A 16,157-nucleotide genomic window follows, 5' to 3' on the forward strand; every position below is an offset into this window, starting at 1 on the left:
AGCCCAATCATAGCTCACTGCAGCCTCCAACTCTTCAGCTCAAGTGATCCTCCTGCCTCAGCTTCTTGAGTAGCTGAGACTACAGGGGCGTGCCACCACACCATGTTAATGTTTTTGTTTTGATTTTGTTTTTGTTTTTGTTTTTTAGATGAAGTCTCGCTTTGTCGCCCAGGCTGGAGTGCAGTGGCGCAATCGTGGCTCGACCTCCGCCTCCCGGGTTCAAGCGATTCTCCTGCCTCAGCCTCCCGAATAGCTGGGACTACAGGCACGCACCCCCACGCCCGGCTAATTTTTGTATTTTTTTAGTAGAGACGGGGTTTCACCATACTGGCCAGGCTGGTCTTGAACTCCTGACATCGTGATCCGCCCGCCTTGGCCTCCCAAAGTGCTGGGATTACAGGCGTGAGCCACCGTGCCTGGCTCACAACCTGTTAATTTTTTAATTTTTAAAACTTTTTTTTCTTTTTGACACAGAGTTTTGCTCCTGTTACCCAGGCTGGGGTGCAATGGCACGATCTCGGCTCACTGCAAACTCCGCCTCCCAGGTTCAAGCAATTATCCTGCCTCAGCCTTCGGAGTAGCTGGGATTACAGGCATGCACCACCATGCCTGGCTAATTTTGTATTTTTAGTAGAGACGGGGTTTCTCCACATTGGTCAGGCTGGTCTCGAACTCCCAACATCAGGTCATCCGCCCGCCTCAGCCTCTCAAAGCGCTGGGATTACAGGCGTGAGCCACCGCACCCAGCCACACCAGCTTAATTTTTTTTTTTTTTTTTTTTTTGAGATGGAGTCTCGCTCTGTCACCCAGGCTGGAGTGCAGTGGCACGATCTCGGCTCACTGCAAGCTCTGCCTCCCAGGTTCACGCCATTCTCCTGCCTCGGCCTCCGGAGTAGCTGGGACTACAGGTGCCTGCCACTGCGCCCGGCTAATTTTTTGTATTTTTAGTAGAGACGGGGTTTCACTGTGTTAGCCAGGATGGTCTCCATCCCATGACCTCGTGATCCTCCCTCCTCGGCCTCCCAAAGTGCTGGGATTACAGGCGTGAGCCACCACCCCCGGCCCTTTATTCAATCTTTACAAAGTCTTTATGCCGAGATGCTGTAATTCGCCACATTTTATCCAAGAGAAAATTATGGCTAAGAGAGTCTCTGATTGTAGCTCGAAAGTGCTAGGGATGGGATTCGTTCCCAGTTCAATTCTGATTCTTCGCTTTAGCGTGTTGTGGGTAGGAGTTAAATGGGCCCCCAGCCAGGACCAGGGGTTCAAATCCGTTGCCATGGTCCCCCGACGCTTTCCCGGGCTCCAGAACGGATCGCGTGGTCACGTGACAGCGGCCAACATGGCGCCGCCCACTGTGTGGTACGGCCCACGTGGTTCCGACAGTCAAGATGGCGGGAGCAGCTACCCAGGCTTCCCTGGAGTCGGCCCCACGGATCATGCGGCTGGTGGCCGAATGCAGCCGCTCCAGGGCCCGGGCAGGCGAGCTGTGGCTGCCGCATGGGACAGTGGCCACTCCTGTGTTCATGCCAGTGGGCACGCAGGCCACCATGAAGGGCATCACGACCGAACAGCTGGACGCTCTGGGTTGCCGCATCTGCCTGGGCAATACCTACCATCTGGGTCTAAGGCCGGTGGGTGGGCTCTGCCCGCGCGGGGAGGCGGCGAGGCGGCGAGGCGTGGGGAGCCATGGAGCGTCCTCCAGGCCCGGACACTCCTCCCAAAGTCAATCGACCAGCTGTATTGAGCGCCCCCAATGACCAGGCCTTGTACTGGGCGTGAAAGAGCAGCAGGGACTAAAGCTGGCCAGATCTGTCTCCCAAGAAGGGCCCCCAGGGACGCGGTCACCCCTAACCTGACACTTTCTTCCATCAACCCAGGGACCCGAGCTGATCCAGAAAGCCAACGGTCTCCACGGCTTCATGAATTGGCCTCATAATCTGCTAACGGTGAGCTGAGGAGAGAGCCGACGTTCTAGGGCCCTTCTCTGGAGTGAAGGGTCCCCATCTCCACCCCCTGACAGCTTTGCGGTGGGGTTTCCCTTAGGACAGCGGCGGTTTCCAGATGGTGTCGCTGGTGTCTCTGTCCGAGGTGACGGAGGAGGGCGTCCGCTTCCGCTCCCCCTACGACGGCAATGAGACCCTGCTGAGCCCGGAGAAATCCGTGCAGATCCAGAATGCGCTGGGTGAGAGGACCCTGGGGAGCCGCCTCCTTACCCTGTCTGTCAGGGGGTGAAGTTTACACGGGGCCTGTTTTTTAGCTGTTGTGTGGCTTTGAGCAGGTCACTCCTCGCTGAGCTTCAGTTGAACCAACTCAAAGCGGGGGTAAATAGTAGCAGGTCTTTGGTAGAATTGTTGACAAGTACATATGAGATGATGTCAGTAAATCTCCATCCCAGCCATGTAGTAGCTTAAGTATTATTATTGCAGTTTTTCTCTCATTAGCAAATTAAGACTGGACGTGGAAGCTCATGCCTGTAATCCCAGCAATTTGGGAAACTGAGGCGGGAAGATCACTTGAGGCCGGGAGTTGGAGACCAGCTTGGGCAATACAGGGAGACCCTGTCTCTACCAAAATAAAAAATAAAAAATAAAAAAAACAAATTAATTGGACAAATATCTGTTGAAATAATGGTGGCAACAAGAGGATTGGGGAGGCTTTAGGCTTCTCCCATATCCTCAATATCCTTCTTTTTTTTTTTTTTTTTTTTTTTTTTTGAGACAGAATTTTGCTCTTGTTGCCCAGGCTGGAGTGCAATTTTGCGATCTGAGCTCACTGCAACCTCTGCCTCCCGGGTTCAAGTGATTCTCCTGACTCAGCCTCCCGAGTAGCTGGGATTACAGGTGTGCGCCACCACACCTGGCTAATTTTGTATTTTTAGTAGAGACAGGGTTTCTCCATGTTGGTTAGGCTACTCTCAAACTCCTGAGCTCAGGTGATCCGCCTGCCTCGGCCTCCCAGAGTGCTGGGATTCCAGGCGTGAGCCACCACACCTGGCTTTTTTTTTTTTTTTTTTTTTTTGAGACAGAGTCGCCCAGGCTGGAGTGCAATGGTGTGATATCCAGTCACTGCAACCTCCACCTCCTGGGTTCAAGTGATTCTCCTGCCTCAGCCTGCTGAGTAGCTGGGATTACAACTGCTTGCCACCATGCCCAGCTAATTTTTGTATTTTTTGTAGAGACGGGTTTCACTATGTTGGCAAGGCTGGTCTCAAACTCCGGACCTCAGGTGATCCACCTGCTTCGGCCTCGCAGAGTGCTGGGATTATAGGTGTGAGCCACCACGCCTGGCCCAATATCCCCATTTCTTGATAAAGAACCATGGCAACACAGGGTCAAAACCCCTCTTCCCCTCATCATTCTAATAGATTGATGCTGTAGGGAGGAAGAAATATTTTTTCTTCTTAGATTCATGGCTGAAGCCCCTATAACAAAAACCCTTATAAGAAAAGAAGCCACGTGCTGGGTGCGGTGGCCACGCCTGTAATCCCAGCACTTTGGGAGGCGGAGGCGCGATCATGACTCACTGCAACAGCTGCCTCCTGGTTCAAGCAATTCGCCTGCCTTAGCCTCCCAAGTAGCTGGGATTACAGGTGCCCGCTACCACACCCAGCTAATTTTTGTATTTTCAGTAGAGATGGGGTTTCACCATGTTGGCCAGGCTGGTTACGAACTCCTGACCTCAAGTGATCTGCCCATCTTGGTCCCCCAAAGTGCTGGGATTACAGGTATGAGCCACTGTGCCCGGCCTATAAGTTTATTTTTTTATGTTTATTTATTTTTATGTATTATTTTGAGACAGAGTCTCACTCTGTCACCCAGGCTAGAGTACAGTGGCACAATCTCAGGTCACTGCAACCTCTGCCTCCTGGCCTCAAGCAATTCTCCTGCCTCAGCCTCCCAAGTAGCTGGGATTACAGGTGCATGCCACCACGCCCAGCTAGTTTTTTGTATTTTTAGTAGAGACAGGGTTTCGCCATGTTGGCCAGGCTGGTCTTGAACTCCTGACCTCAAGCGATCTGCCCGCCTTGGCCTCCCAAAGTGCTGGGATTACAGGTGTGAGCCACCATGCCCGGCCAAATATTTTTTGTAGAGATTAGAGTCTCACTACATTATCTGGGCTGGTCTTGAACTCCTGGCTACAAACAGTCCTTTGCCTTGACCATTCAAAGTGCTCATGTTACAAGCATGAGCCACTGTGCCAGCCCCCATGTGTTTTTTGTTTGTTTGTTTGTTTTTTCTGGAGATGGAGTCTTGCTTAGTCTCCCAGGCTGGAGTGCGGTGGCGCGATCTCGGCTCACTGCAAGCTCCGCCTCCTGGGTTCATGCCATTCTCCTGCCTCAGCCTCCGGAGTAGCTGGGACTACAGGCACCCGCCATTACGCCCAGCTAATTTTTTTGTACTTTTACTAGAGACGGGGTTTCATCGTGTTAGCCAGGATGGTCTCGATCTCCTGACCTCGTGATTCGCCCATCTCGGCCTTCCAAAGTGCTGGGATTACAGGCGTGAGCCACCGCACCCGGCCTCTTTTTTTTTGAAACCGAGTTTCGCTCTTGTTGCCCAGGCTGGAGTGCAATGGCGCAATCTCGGCTCACAGCAACCTCTGCCTCCTGGGTTCAAGCGATTCTCCTGCCTCAGCCTCCCGAGTAGCTGGGATGACAGGCATGCGCCACCATGCCCGGCTAATTTTGTATTTTTGGTAGAGACGGGGTTTCTCCATGTTGGTCAGGCTGGTCTTGAACTCCCGACCTCAGGTGATCCGCCTGCCTCAGCCTCCCAAAGTGCTGGCATTACAGGTGTGAGCCACCATGCCCAGCTAAAGTTCTAGCTTTTTAATGAATGTCGTAATTTTTTTTTTTTTTTTTGATGTGGAATCTCGCTCTGTCACCTAGGCTGGAGTGCAGTGGCTCGATCTTGGCTCACTGCAACCTCTGCTGCCCGGGTTTAAGCTATTCTCCTGCCTCAGCCTCCCCAGCAGCTGGGACTACAGGTGCCTGCCACCACGCCTGGTAATTTTTGTACTTTTAGTAGAGACGGGGTTTCACCTTGTTGGTCAGGCTGGTCTTGAACTCCTGACTTCAGGTGGTCCACCTGCCTCAGCCTCCCAAAGGGCTGGGATTACAGGCGTGAGCCACCGCACCCAGCCCCATATTTATTTTTTCGTCTTTTCTTTTTTTTTTTCTTTTTTGAGAAGGAGTCTCACTCTTTGACCAAGGCTGGAGTGCAGTGGCACTGTGTTGGCTTACTGCAACCTCTGTCTTCTGGGTTCAAGCACTTCTCCTGCTGCAGCCTCCCGAGTAGCTGGGATTACAGGTGCCCATCACCACACCTGGCTAGTTTTTATATTTTTAGTAGAGACGGGGTTTCACCATGTTGGCCAGGCCGGTCTCGAACTCCTGACCTAAGGTGATCCACCCGTCTCGGCCTCCCAAAGTGCTGGGACTACAGGCGTGAGTCACCACGCCTGCCCCTTTTTTTCTTTTTTGAGACACAATCTCGCTCTGTCACCCGGGCTGGAGTACTGTGGTGCAATCTCGGCTCACTGCAACCTTTGCTTCCTGGGTTCAAGCGATTCTCCTGCCTCAGCCTCCCAAGTAGCTGGGACTTCAGGTGCATGCCACCATGCCGGGCTAATTTTTGTATTTGTTGTAGAGACAGGGTTTCACCATATTGGCCAGGGTGGTCTTGAACTCCCGATCTCAAGTGATTGACCTGCTTTGGCCTCCCAAAGTGCTGGGGTTACAGGCGCAAGCCACCAGGCCTGGCCTGTTCTTTTTTTTTTTTTTTTTTTTTTTTTTTTTTGTGGAGACAGAGTCTCGCTCTGTCACTCAGGCTGGAGTGTAGTGGTGCGATCTCGGCTCACTGCAAGCTTCACCTCCCGGGTGCACACCATTCTCCTGCCTCAGTTCCCGAGTAGCTGGGACTACAGGTGACCGCCACCACGCCCGGCTAATTTTTTGTATTTTTAGCAGAGACAGGGTTTCACTGTGTTCGCCAGGATGGTGTCAATCTCCTGACCTGGTGATCCACACGCCTTGGCCTCCCAAAGTGCTGGGATTACAGGCGTGAGCCACTGCGCCCGGCTGTGGCCTGTTCTTTTTTATTTTAAATTGTTTTCATCTATTTATTTTCTTAATAATGGAGATGGGGTCTCTCTGTGTTGCCCAGGGTGGTCTCGAACTCCTGGGCTCTAGTGATCCTTCCGCCTGGGCCTTCCAAAGTGTTTGGATTATAGGTCATCAAGTTTCATTTTATGCCACTAAACCACTATGCTGTGCACCGTGGCTCATGCCTATAATCTTAGCACTTTTGTTTTGTTTTTGAGACGGTGTCTCGCTCTGTCGCCTTGGCTGGAGTACAGTGGTGCAATCTTAGCTCACCGCAACCTCCGTCTTCCGGGTTCAAGCGATTCTCCTGCCTCAGCCTCTTGAGTAGCTGGGATTACAGGAATATACCACCACGCCCGGCTAATTTTTGTATTTTTAGTAGAGACGGGGTTTCACCACCTTGGCCAGGCTGGTCTCGAACTCCTGACCTCAAATGATCCACCTGGGTTGGCCTTCCAAAGTGCTGAGATGACAAGCGTGAGCCATCGCGCCTGTTTTTTTTTTTTTAACCTTTTTTTTTTTTTTTTAACACAGCCTTGCTCTGTCATCCAGGCTGGAGTGCAGTGGCACAATCTTGGCTCACTGCTACCTCTGTCTCCCAGATTCAAGCTATTCTCCTGTCTCTGCCTTCCAAGCAGCTGGGAATACAGGCACGTGCCATCATACCTGGCTAATTTTTGTGTTTTTAGGAGAGATGGGGTTTCACCATGTTGGCGAGGCTGGTCTTGAACTCCTGACCTCAGATGACCTGCCTGCCTCGGCGTCCCCAAGTGCTGGGATTACAGGCGTAGTCACTGCGCCCAGTCAGCAGAGCCCTGCTGATGGACGTTTGGTTTCCCGGTCTTGCTGTGGCACGCCACATAGCAAGGGATCCCTTTGTATATTTTAGGATTTTATTTTGTGTAACAGGATAGGATTTTAAGCTGGGGAGAGGCAGGATCAAAGGCACATTCTGTAAAGCTCCTTCTGGCTGCTGTATAAACAGACCGGGAAAGTCACGTGGGAGTTAGCAAGACGGGGGATGGGGGGATGCTCTTGGGGAAGTCCAACTTGTCCCCATGTGACGGCAGGCTTTCCCCAAGCATTGCGGGCTTTCCCAGTGATGTTGCCCCCATCTCACCATCAGGCTCGGACATCATCATGCAGCTGGACGACGTGGTTAGCAGTACTGTGACTGGGCCACGTGTGGAGGAGGCCATGTACAGGTGTGTATATGCTGTGTGCATGTGTGGGATATGTGGTGGGAGGGGATCCTGGTCCCTGTAGCCTTGTCTCCTACCCCCTCACCAGGCCCCTGGGGCTTGTGACTGGGGCCCTGTTGCAGGTCAATCCGCTGGCTGGACCGGTGCATTGCAGCCCATCAGCGGCCGGACAAGCAGAACCTCTTCGCCATTATCCAGGGTGGGCTGGACGCAGATCTCCGGGCCACCTGCCTTGAAGGTAGAGCCATGCGCTGGCAGGCCCAGGGCTTGGCCATCGCGGAGGTCCCCACATGGGCCTGGCGTATGGCGGGACTGGATTGCTAATGTGTAGAAGGGCACTGCGCTAGAAAAAATAGCCGGAGCAAAGGCTCTCGGGCCACGTGCAGTAGAATGTATTGAGAGAATGGCCATGATTCCAGTAGTTAATGATCTTCTAGGTTTTTTGTTTGTTTGTTTTTGTTTTTTTTTTTGAGACGGAGTCTCAGGTGATCCACCCCCCTTGGCCTCCCAAAGTGCTGGGATTATAGTCATGAGCCACCGCGCCCAGCCTATTTATGTATTTATTTATTTTACTTTTTTTTTTTTTGGAGGGTGGAGTCTTGCACTGTCGCCCAGGCTGGAGTGCTGTGGCGCGATCTCGGCTCACTGCAACCTCTGCCTCCCTGCAACCTCCGCCTCCCGGGTTCAATCTATTCTCCTGCCTCAGCCTCCTGAGTAGCTGGGACTACAGGCACCCGCCACCAGGCCCGGCTAATTTTTGTATTTTTAGTAGAGACAGGGTTTCACCATTTTGGCCAGGCTGGTTTCAAACTCCTGACCTTGTGATCTGCCTGCCTCGGCCTCCCAAAGTGCTGGGATTACAGGCGTGAGCCACCGTACCTGGCCTCTTTATTTATTTTTGAGACACGGTCTTACTCTGTTGCTCCTCCTGGAGTGCAGTGGCTAGGTCAAAGCTCACTGCAGCCTCAAACTCCTGGGATCAAGCAGTCCTGCTTCAGCTTTCCAAAGTGCTTGGAATATAGGTGCACGCCGGTGTGTCCAGCCATGCATTACCTTTTACATGCAATGCTTTCTGGTGTTTTCTTTTCTCTTTCATTTAAAAACAACGACAACAACCCGTGCGTCATCAAAGTCATTTCTCAACCACCTGCAGTTTGACAAGCACCGCCCCATGGGGTGCTTCTCAAAGTGCTCTGAGGCTTACCTGCCCCAGCACAAACTACTGAAAGTCCTGGTAAAATGCAGCTCCCCTTCCCATGATCCGACCAGAGTTGGAGCTAGGGAAGGCCTAGGAATCTGCATGTAAACACCCTGTGTCCAGTTGGAGGATGCTCACATTACCTTCAAAACCTGGCCCCAGACAACGCCTGCATTCCTTTTTTTTTTTTTCTTTTTTTTTTTTTTTGAGACGGAGTTTCGCTCTTGTTGCCCAGGCTGGAGTGCAGTGGCGTGATCTCAGGTCACTGCAACCTCCACCTTCCGGTTTCAAGTGATTCTCCTGCCTCAGCCTCCTGAGTAGCTGAGATTACAGGCATGCACCACCATGCCTGGCTAATTTTTGTATTTTTAGTAGGGACAGGGTTTCACCATGTTGGCTAGGCTGGTCTTGAACTCCTGACCTCGTGATCCACCCCCACCTTGGCCTCCAGAGTGCTGGGATTACAGGCTTGAGCCACTGCACCTGGCCAACACCTGCGTTCTTGATGGCATGGCCTCTTCGGGTTGAACTGGGCAGCTGGGGCACAAGATAAGCCTGGACTTGGAGGCCAGACCCAGGTTTGAATCCAGCCTTTGGCATATGTAGCCTTGGACTAGTGGTTTAAGCTCTGCAAGCCTCAATTTCCTCTTGTTTCAGGCAAGTTGAACAATAGCACAATTCTGCAGCCCCTTCTGTGTCATCCAGGTCCTCAGAGCGAAAGTCTAAAATCCAGAACATTGGCCGGGTACCATAGCTCACACCTGAATCCCAGCACTTTAGGAGGCCAAGGCAAGAGGATTGCTTGAGACCAGTCTGGGTGACATAGTGAGATCCCATCTCTAAAAAAAGAGAATTGGGCCAGGCACGCTGGCTCACGCCTGTAATCCCAGTACTTTGTGAGGCCAAGGCGGGCAGATCACGTGGTCAGGAGTTCGAGACCAGCCTGGCCAACATGGTAAAACCCCGTTTCTACTAAAAATACAAAAATTAGGCCGGGCGTGGTGGCTCGCGCCTGTAATCCCAGCACTTTGGGAGGCTGAGGCGGGCAAATCATTGAGGTCGGGAGATCGAGACCAACCTGGCTAACACGGTGAAACCCCATCTCTACTAAAAAATAGAAAAAATTAGCTGGGCGTGGTGGCGGGCGCCTGTAGTCTCAGCTACTCGGGAGGCCGAGGCAGGAGAATGGCGTGAACCTGGGAGACAGAGCTTGCAGTGAGCCGAGATTGTGCCACTGCACTCCAGCCTGGGCAACAAAGTGAGACTCCATCTCAAAAAAAAAAAAATTAGCCAGGCATGGTGGTGGGCACCTGTAATCTTAGCTACTCGGGAGGCTGAGGCAGGAGAATCATTTGAACCCGGGAGGTGGAGGTTACAGTGAGCTGAGATCACACCACTGCACTCCAGCCTGGGCGACAGAGCAAGAATCTGTCTCAAAAAAAAAGAAAAAAAGAAAATTAGCACGCAAGCATGGGAGTGTGTGCCTGTGATCCTAGATACTTGGGAGGCTGAGGTGGGAGGATCGCTTGAGCCCAGGGGTTGGTGGCTGCAGTGAGCTATGATGACATCACTGTACTGCAGTCTGGGTAACACAGTGAGACCCTGTCTCAAAAAAAAAGAAGAAAAGAAAAGAGAAAAAACTTAGAATGCCCTGAAAAATTTGCAACTCATTTCATGGCTAACTTAGATCTCTCATTTTTTATCCCAGTTGTTACAAGTATTCACATATTTTTATTTTTATTTATTTTTTATTTTTTTGAGATGGAGTTTTGCTCTTGTTGTCCAGGCTGGAGTGCAGTGGCACCATCTCGGCTCACTGCAACCTCTGCCTTCTGGTTTCAAGCGATTCTCCTGCTTCAGCCTCCCGAGTAGCTGGGATTACAGGCACCAGCCACCACGCCTGGCCAATTTTTGTATTTTTAGTAGGGATGGGGTTTCACCATGTTGGCCAGGCTGGTCTCGAACTCCTGACCTCGTGATCCACCTGCCTTGGCCTCCCAAAGTGCTGGGATTACAGGCGTGAGCCATGTGCCCAGCCTATTTTTATTTTTTAAATTTTACTTTGGCCGGGCGTGGTGGCTCATGCCTGTAATCCTGGCACTTTGGGAGGCTGCAGTGGGCGGATTACCTGAGGTCAGGAGTTCAAGACCAGCCTGCCCAACATGGCGGAACCCTGTCTCTATTAAAAATACAAAAAATTAGCCGGGCATGGTGGTGGGCGACTGTAGTCCCAGCTACTCGGGGGGCTGAGGCAGGAGAATCACTTGAACCCGGGAGGCGAGGGTTGCAGTGAGCCAAGATGGTGCCATTGCACTCCAGCCTGGATGACAAGAGCAAAACTCCATCTCAAAAAAAAAAAAAAAAAAATTAAGTTCTGGGATACATGTGCAGAACGTGCAAGTTTGTTACACAGCTATGAATGTGCCATGGTGGTTTCTGCACACATCAGCCCGTCATCTAGGTTTTAAGCCCCGCATGCGTTATGTATTTGTCCTAATGCTCTCACTCCCCTTTCCTCCACCAAGTCTTAACATATTTTGTTGTACAAATATTACAGTGTTTGATGACAGGCTATTGGGTGTTTTGTTGTTGTTGTTGTTTCGTTTTGTTTTGTGAGACGGAGTCTCGCTCTGTCGCCCAGGCTGGAGTGCAGTCATCTGATCTCGGCTCACTGCAACCTCCACCTCCCGGGTTCAAGCGATTCTTCTGCCTCAGCCTCCTGTGTAGCTGGGACTGCGGGTGCCCATCACCACACCTGGCTAATTTTTGTATTTTTTAGTAGAGACAGGATTTAACCACGTTGGTTAGCCTGCTTTCGAACTCCTGACCTCGTAATCTGCCTGCCTTGGCCTCCCAAAGTGCTGGGATTGAAGGCATGAGTCACCGCGCCCGGCCCTTTTTTTTGAGATGGAGTCTCACTTTGTCACCCAGGCTGGAGTGCAGTGGTGTGATCTTGGCTCACTACAACCTCTGCCTCCCAGGTTCAAGCGATTCTCCTGCCTCAGCCTCCTGTGTAGCTGGGACCAAAGGCGTGCACCACCACGCCTGGCTACTTTTCATATTTTTAGTAGAGACAGGGTTTCACCATGTTGGCCAGATTGTTCTTCAACACCAGACTTCAAGTGATCTGCTTGCCTCGGCCTCCCACAGTGCTGGGATGACAGGCGTGAGCCACTGCGCCTAACATGACAGCTGTTACTCAGCATGTGGGATGTTTACTGTTCTCACATCTGGAAAACTCTGAATTCTGAAACACATCTGGTTCCAACAGTTTCAGCTAAGGGACTGTGGGCTGTGCCTCTTCTGAGTACTGAAGGAAAAGGTCTTGCATACAGCAGGCACTCAATAAATGTTAGCTGAGATCAGCAGTAGTCCCAGCCCCTAGACAGACAGACAAACTGATGGACCCTCTCCTCTGTCTCCCTCTCCGTCTCCCTCTCCGTCTCTGGCTCTGTCTGTCTGTCTCTGTCTGTTTCTCTGACTCTCTCCCTGAGCGACTCTGGAAGTCTGGGCAGGGTGTGTTCTGGGATTGAAGACCAGGCGCATTTCCTCTTCTGTGGCCCTCACCTTACCCTGTACCCTCAGAGATGACCAAGCGAGACGTGCCTGGCTTCGCCATCGGGGGCCTGAGCGGGGGTGAGAGCAAGTCGCAGTTCTGGCGGATGGTGGCGCTGAGCACCTCTCGGCTGCCGAAGGACAAGCCCCGATATCTGATGGGGGTTGGGTATGTTGTGGATAGGGAAGCCAGAGCCCTACCTGTGGGAAGTGGATTCCTGGGGACCCCCTACCCTGCTTGGGGAGGTGGCATTTGGGGGAAACGGACACAGGTCTGATCTGAGGAGACTAGGAAGACATGGCTGTCCCTTGGGGGCCATTCTGAGGGAATATGGCCCAGTCTGGGGCAGTGTGAGGGTTGGGAGGGGCCCTGGGAAGCCCCTGAGGTTCTCTGCCCCCTCCCGTCATGGCTGCAACCCCAGCTATGCCACTGATCTGGTAGTCTGCGTGGCTCTTGGATGTGACATGTTCGACTGCGTCTTCCCCACACGGACAGCGGTGAGGCTCTGGCAGAAGGAGGTCAGGGCGGGAGACGGGTGGGGGACTAGGGAGGCAAGGTTAGGGGTGGGGGGTGGGGAGAATGAAGCCCTGGGTGACGCCCCTTTCCCTGCCCTTCCTCTCCCACAGCGCTTTGGCTCTGCCCTGGTGCCCACTGGGAACCTGCAGTTGAGGAAGAAGGTGTTTGAGAAGGACTTCGGCCCCATAGACCCGGAGTGCACCTGCCCCACGTGCCAAAAGTAGGCAGGATGGCACTGGGAGCTGGGGCAGGGCATGGAGGGGACAGGGCCTGGCCGTGCTGAGCTGTCCCCTGCCGCTCTACAGGCACAGCCGCGCCTTCCTGCACGCACTGCTGCACAGTGACAACACGGCCGCGCTGCACCACCTCACGGTCCACAACATCGCCTACCAGGTGAGCCAGTGCCCGGGGCAAGGTGGGCGGGGGTGTCCTAGGTGCGTATGCCCCACGCTGACCTCCCCTCCCCGCAGCTGCAGCTCATGAGCGCCGTCCGCACCAGCATCGTGGAGAAGCGCTTCCCGGACTTCGTGCGGGACTTCATGGGCGCCATGTACGGGGATCCCACCCTCTGTCCCACCTGGGCCACTGACGCTCTGGCCTCTGTGGGAATCACACTGGGCTGACCTGGCATTGGGAGAGGGAGGGAGGAAGGAAGGGAGGGAGGGGCTGGAAGATACTGAAGGATTCCTTTTTGAAAGGTTTTTTTTATTGTAACTTACAGAGTGTGTCTGTGTCTTCTTGAGGAAGTGGCCTGTCTGGGTCCCCCTCCCAGTCTGAGCGTCATTGCAGTGGAATATCTCCCCTTCTCACCAATCATAACACGTCACTGTGGCAGCAGCGGATAGCTGGAAACCACCTGCCAGTGCCCAGCATGTAGGGCGTGCCCCTAGAGCGGGAGCTGCCACCTGCTTCCTGGGGCCCAGGCCCCCCAGCCACCTTGGAGGGAGGTACTGTTGGCCTCTCCTTTTTTACAGCTGAGGAAGCAGGCCCAGGGAAGGGAGGGAACTTGCCCAAGGTCATCACCATCAAAGAAATGGTATCTTGGCTTTAAGGCATACACTCCTAGTCTGACTTTTATAAATATGAGGCTTAATCTCCTATTTTTTTCTTTCTTTTTTTTTTTTTTCCGAGACTGAGTCTCGCTCTGTCACCCAGGCTGGAGTGCAGTGGTAGGATCTCGGATCACTGCCACCTCCGCCTCCCGGGTTCAAACGATTCTCCTGCCTCAGCCTCCCGAGTAGCTGAGACTACAGGCGCGTGCCAGCACGCCTGGCTAATTTTTGTATTTTTAATAGAGATGGGGTTTCACCATGTTGGCCAGGCTGGTCTCAAACTCCTGACCTCAAGTGATCTGCCTGCCTCAGCCTCCCAAAGTGTTGGGATTACAGGCATGAGCCACAGTGCCCAGCCTCTTTTTTTTTTTTTTTTTTTTTTTTTTGAGACTGTCTCCCTTTGTCATCCAGGCTGGAGTGCATTGGTTCAAACACGGCTCACTGTAGCCTCGATCTGGAGCCGCCACACCCGGTCTACTCTTGCAACTTGATGTTGCATGTACAGTCGTGTTCCATTTTACGGAGGAGGACACTGAGGCACAGAGGAATGAAGTTTACATGGTCACTGTCACTTTCTTAGTCCGTTCTGGCTGCCATATATAACAAAATACCATCAACTGGGTGGCTTATAAACAGCAGAAATTTATTTATCACAGTTCTAGAAGCTGGGAAATTCAAGATCAAGGTACCAGCAGATTCAGTGTCTGTTGAGGGCAAACTTCCTAGATGGCGATCTTTTCTCTAATCTCACATGGCGGGAGGGGCAAGGCAGCTCTCTGGGGTCTCTTTTATGAAGGCGCAGTGAGAAGCTCAGCAGGTTTGTGAAAAGAAAAAAAAATACATAAGGGCACAAATCCCATTCACCTAATCACCTAATCGCCTTCCAAAGGCTCCACCTCCAATTACCATCATGTTGGGGATTAGGTTTCATCATGTCAATCTTGGTGTGGTGGGTGATGGGGTAGAGGGCTGGTCTATAAACATTCAGACCATAATAATCAGTAAATAAACAGGCCCAGGATCTAACCCAGATATGATCAGTTACAGAGCTAGTGATCTTCACCAGCCTGGGCAACACGGTGAAACTCCTTCTTTACAAAAAATACAGGTGGTGTGCATCTGTGCTCCCAGCTACTGAGGAAGCTGAGGTGGGAGGATTGCTTGAGCCCAGGAGGTTGAGGCTGCAATTGCACCACTGCACTCCAGCCTGGGCAGCGGAGTGAGACTCTGTCTCAAAAACAAAAACCAGTGCTCTTCAAAAATGAAGTTTTTGAAATGGAAAAAGTAGGCCAGGTGCAGTGGCTCACACCTGTAATCCCAGCTACTCTGGAGGCTGAGGCAGGAGAATCACTTGAACCCAGGACGTGGAGGTGGCAGTGAGCCGAGATCGCACCACTGCACGCCACCCTGAGAGACAGCGAGATTTCGTCTAAAAAAAAAAAAAAAAAGGTTGGACGTGGTGGTGGCTCACACCTGTAATCCTAGCACTTTGGGAGGCCAAGGAGGGCAGATCATGAGGTCAGGAGTTCAAGACCAGCCTGGCCAACATGGTGAAACCCCATCTCTACTAAATATACAAAAATTAGCTGGGTGTGGTGGCACGTGCCTGTAATCCCAGCTACTCTGGAGGCTGAGGCAGGAATATCGCTTGAAGCCAGGACTTGGAGGTTGCAGTGAGCCAAGATCGCACTACTGTACTCCAGCCTGGGAGACAGAGCAAGCCTCCATCTCAAAAAAAGAAAAGAAAAGAAAAAAAAAGTCCAAGCGCGGTGGCTCACACCTGCAATCCCAGCACTTTGGGAGGCCAAGGAGGGAGGGTCATCTGGGTCAGGAGTTCGAGACCAGCCTGGCCAACATGGTGAAACCCCATCTCTACTAAAAATACAAAAATTAGCCAGGTATGGTGGCAGGCGCCTGTAGTCCCAGCTACTTGAAAGGCTGAGGCAGGAGAATCATTTGAACCCGGGAGGCGGAGGTTGCAGTGAGCTGAGATTGCATCACTGCACTCCAGCCTGGGCTACAGAGCAAGACTCTGTTTCAAAAAAAAAAAAAAGTGAAAAAGTAATACATGTATGTAATCCACAATTCAAATCACATCAAAAGTGCAACTACTTTTATCAATTTATGTATTTTTCCAGCAATTTTCCGTGTGTACATATGGTTTTCATGCATGTCAGCATCCTTCACACACAGTTCTGTACCTTGCTTGTTTTTTCCTCTTAGTATATCTCAAATTATTTATACTTCAGTACATGAAGAGTTTCCTCAACGTTTTTGTTTGTTTGTTTATTTGTTTTTGAGACGGGGTTTTGCTCTTGTTGCCCAGGCTGGAGTGCAGCGGTGCGATCTCAGCTCACCGCAACTTCTGCGTCCCGTGTTCAAGCGATTCTCCTGCCTCAGCCTCTCGAGTAGCTGGGATTACAGGCACGCACCACCACGCCTGGCTAATTTTTTGTATTTTTAGTAGAAACGTGGTTTCACTATGTTAGCCAAGCTGGTTTCGAACCTCTAACCTCAGGTGATCTGC

The 16,157-nt window shown here is 52.0% G+C and overlaps 1 protein-coding gene across 1 annotated transcript, besides 5 other annotated features; it reads left to right on the forward strand.

Moving 5' to 3' along the window:
* Positions 1,087-1,835: an enhancer, noted in NCBI's record as "H3K27ac-H3K4me1 hESC enhancer chr19:10811832-10812580 (GRCh37/hg19 assembly coordinates)". NCBI's record gives its function as "activates a minimal SCP1, AML or CMV promoter by ChIP-STARR-seq in primed H9 embryonic stem cells {active_cell/tissue: H9 hESC(primed)}" and the evidence as "EXISTENCE:reporter gene assay evidence [ECO:0000049][PMID:30033119]".
* Positions 1,314-1,403: an enhancer, noted in NCBI's record as "active region_13984". NCBI's record gives its function as "activates an Ori minimal core promoter by ATAC-STARR-seq in GM12878 lymphoblastoid cells {active_cell/tissue: GM12878}" and the evidence as "EXISTENCE:reporter gene assay evidence [ECO:0000049][PMID:35858748]".
* Positions 1,370-13,296, forward strand: QTRT1 (queuine tRNA-ribosyltransferase catalytic subunit 1). The gene is made up of 10 exons (NM_031209.3): positions 1,370-1,634; positions 1,881-1,949; positions 2,047-2,185; positions 7,233-7,311; positions 7,431-7,546; positions 12,092-12,230; positions 12,484-12,559; positions 12,689-12,798; positions 12,884-12,971; positions 13,049-13,296. The coding sequence occupies exons 1-10, from the start codon at positions 1,392-1,394 to the stop codon at positions 13,199-13,201; spliced, it is 1,212 nt and encodes a 403-aa protein (NP_112486.1). The 5' UTR covers positions 1,370-1,391; the 3' UTR covers positions 13,202-13,296.
* Positions 1,624-1,683: a silencer, noted in NCBI's record as "silent region_10089". NCBI's record gives its function as "represses an Ori minimal core promoter by ATAC-STARR-seq in GM12878 lymphoblastoid cells {active_cell/tissue: GM12878}" and the evidence as "EXISTENCE:reporter gene assay evidence [ECO:0000049][PMID:35858748]".
* Positions 2,164-2,353: an enhancer, noted in NCBI's record as "active region_13985". NCBI's record gives its function as "activates an Ori minimal core promoter by ATAC-STARR-seq in GM12878 lymphoblastoid cells {active_cell/tissue: GM12878}" and the evidence as "EXISTENCE:reporter gene assay evidence [ECO:0000049][PMID:35858748]".
* Positions 15,548-15,737: a silencer, noted in NCBI's record as "fragment chr19:10826293-10826482 (GRCh37/hg19 assembly coordinates)". NCBI's record gives its function as "represses an EF-1alpha promoter that drives an FKBP-Casp9 reporter gene in an ReSE screen in K562 erythroleukemia cells {active_cell/tissue: K562}" and the evidence as "EXISTENCE:reporter gene assay evidence [ECO:0000049][PMID:32094911]".

This window comes from Homo sapiens, chromosome 19, assembly GCF_000001405.40.
Source record: "Homo sapiens chromosome 19, GRCh38.p14 Primary Assembly".
In the NCBI taxonomy this organism is placed as follows: domain Eukaryota; kingdom Metazoa; phylum Chordata; class Mammalia; order Primates; family Hominidae; genus Homo; species Homo sapiens.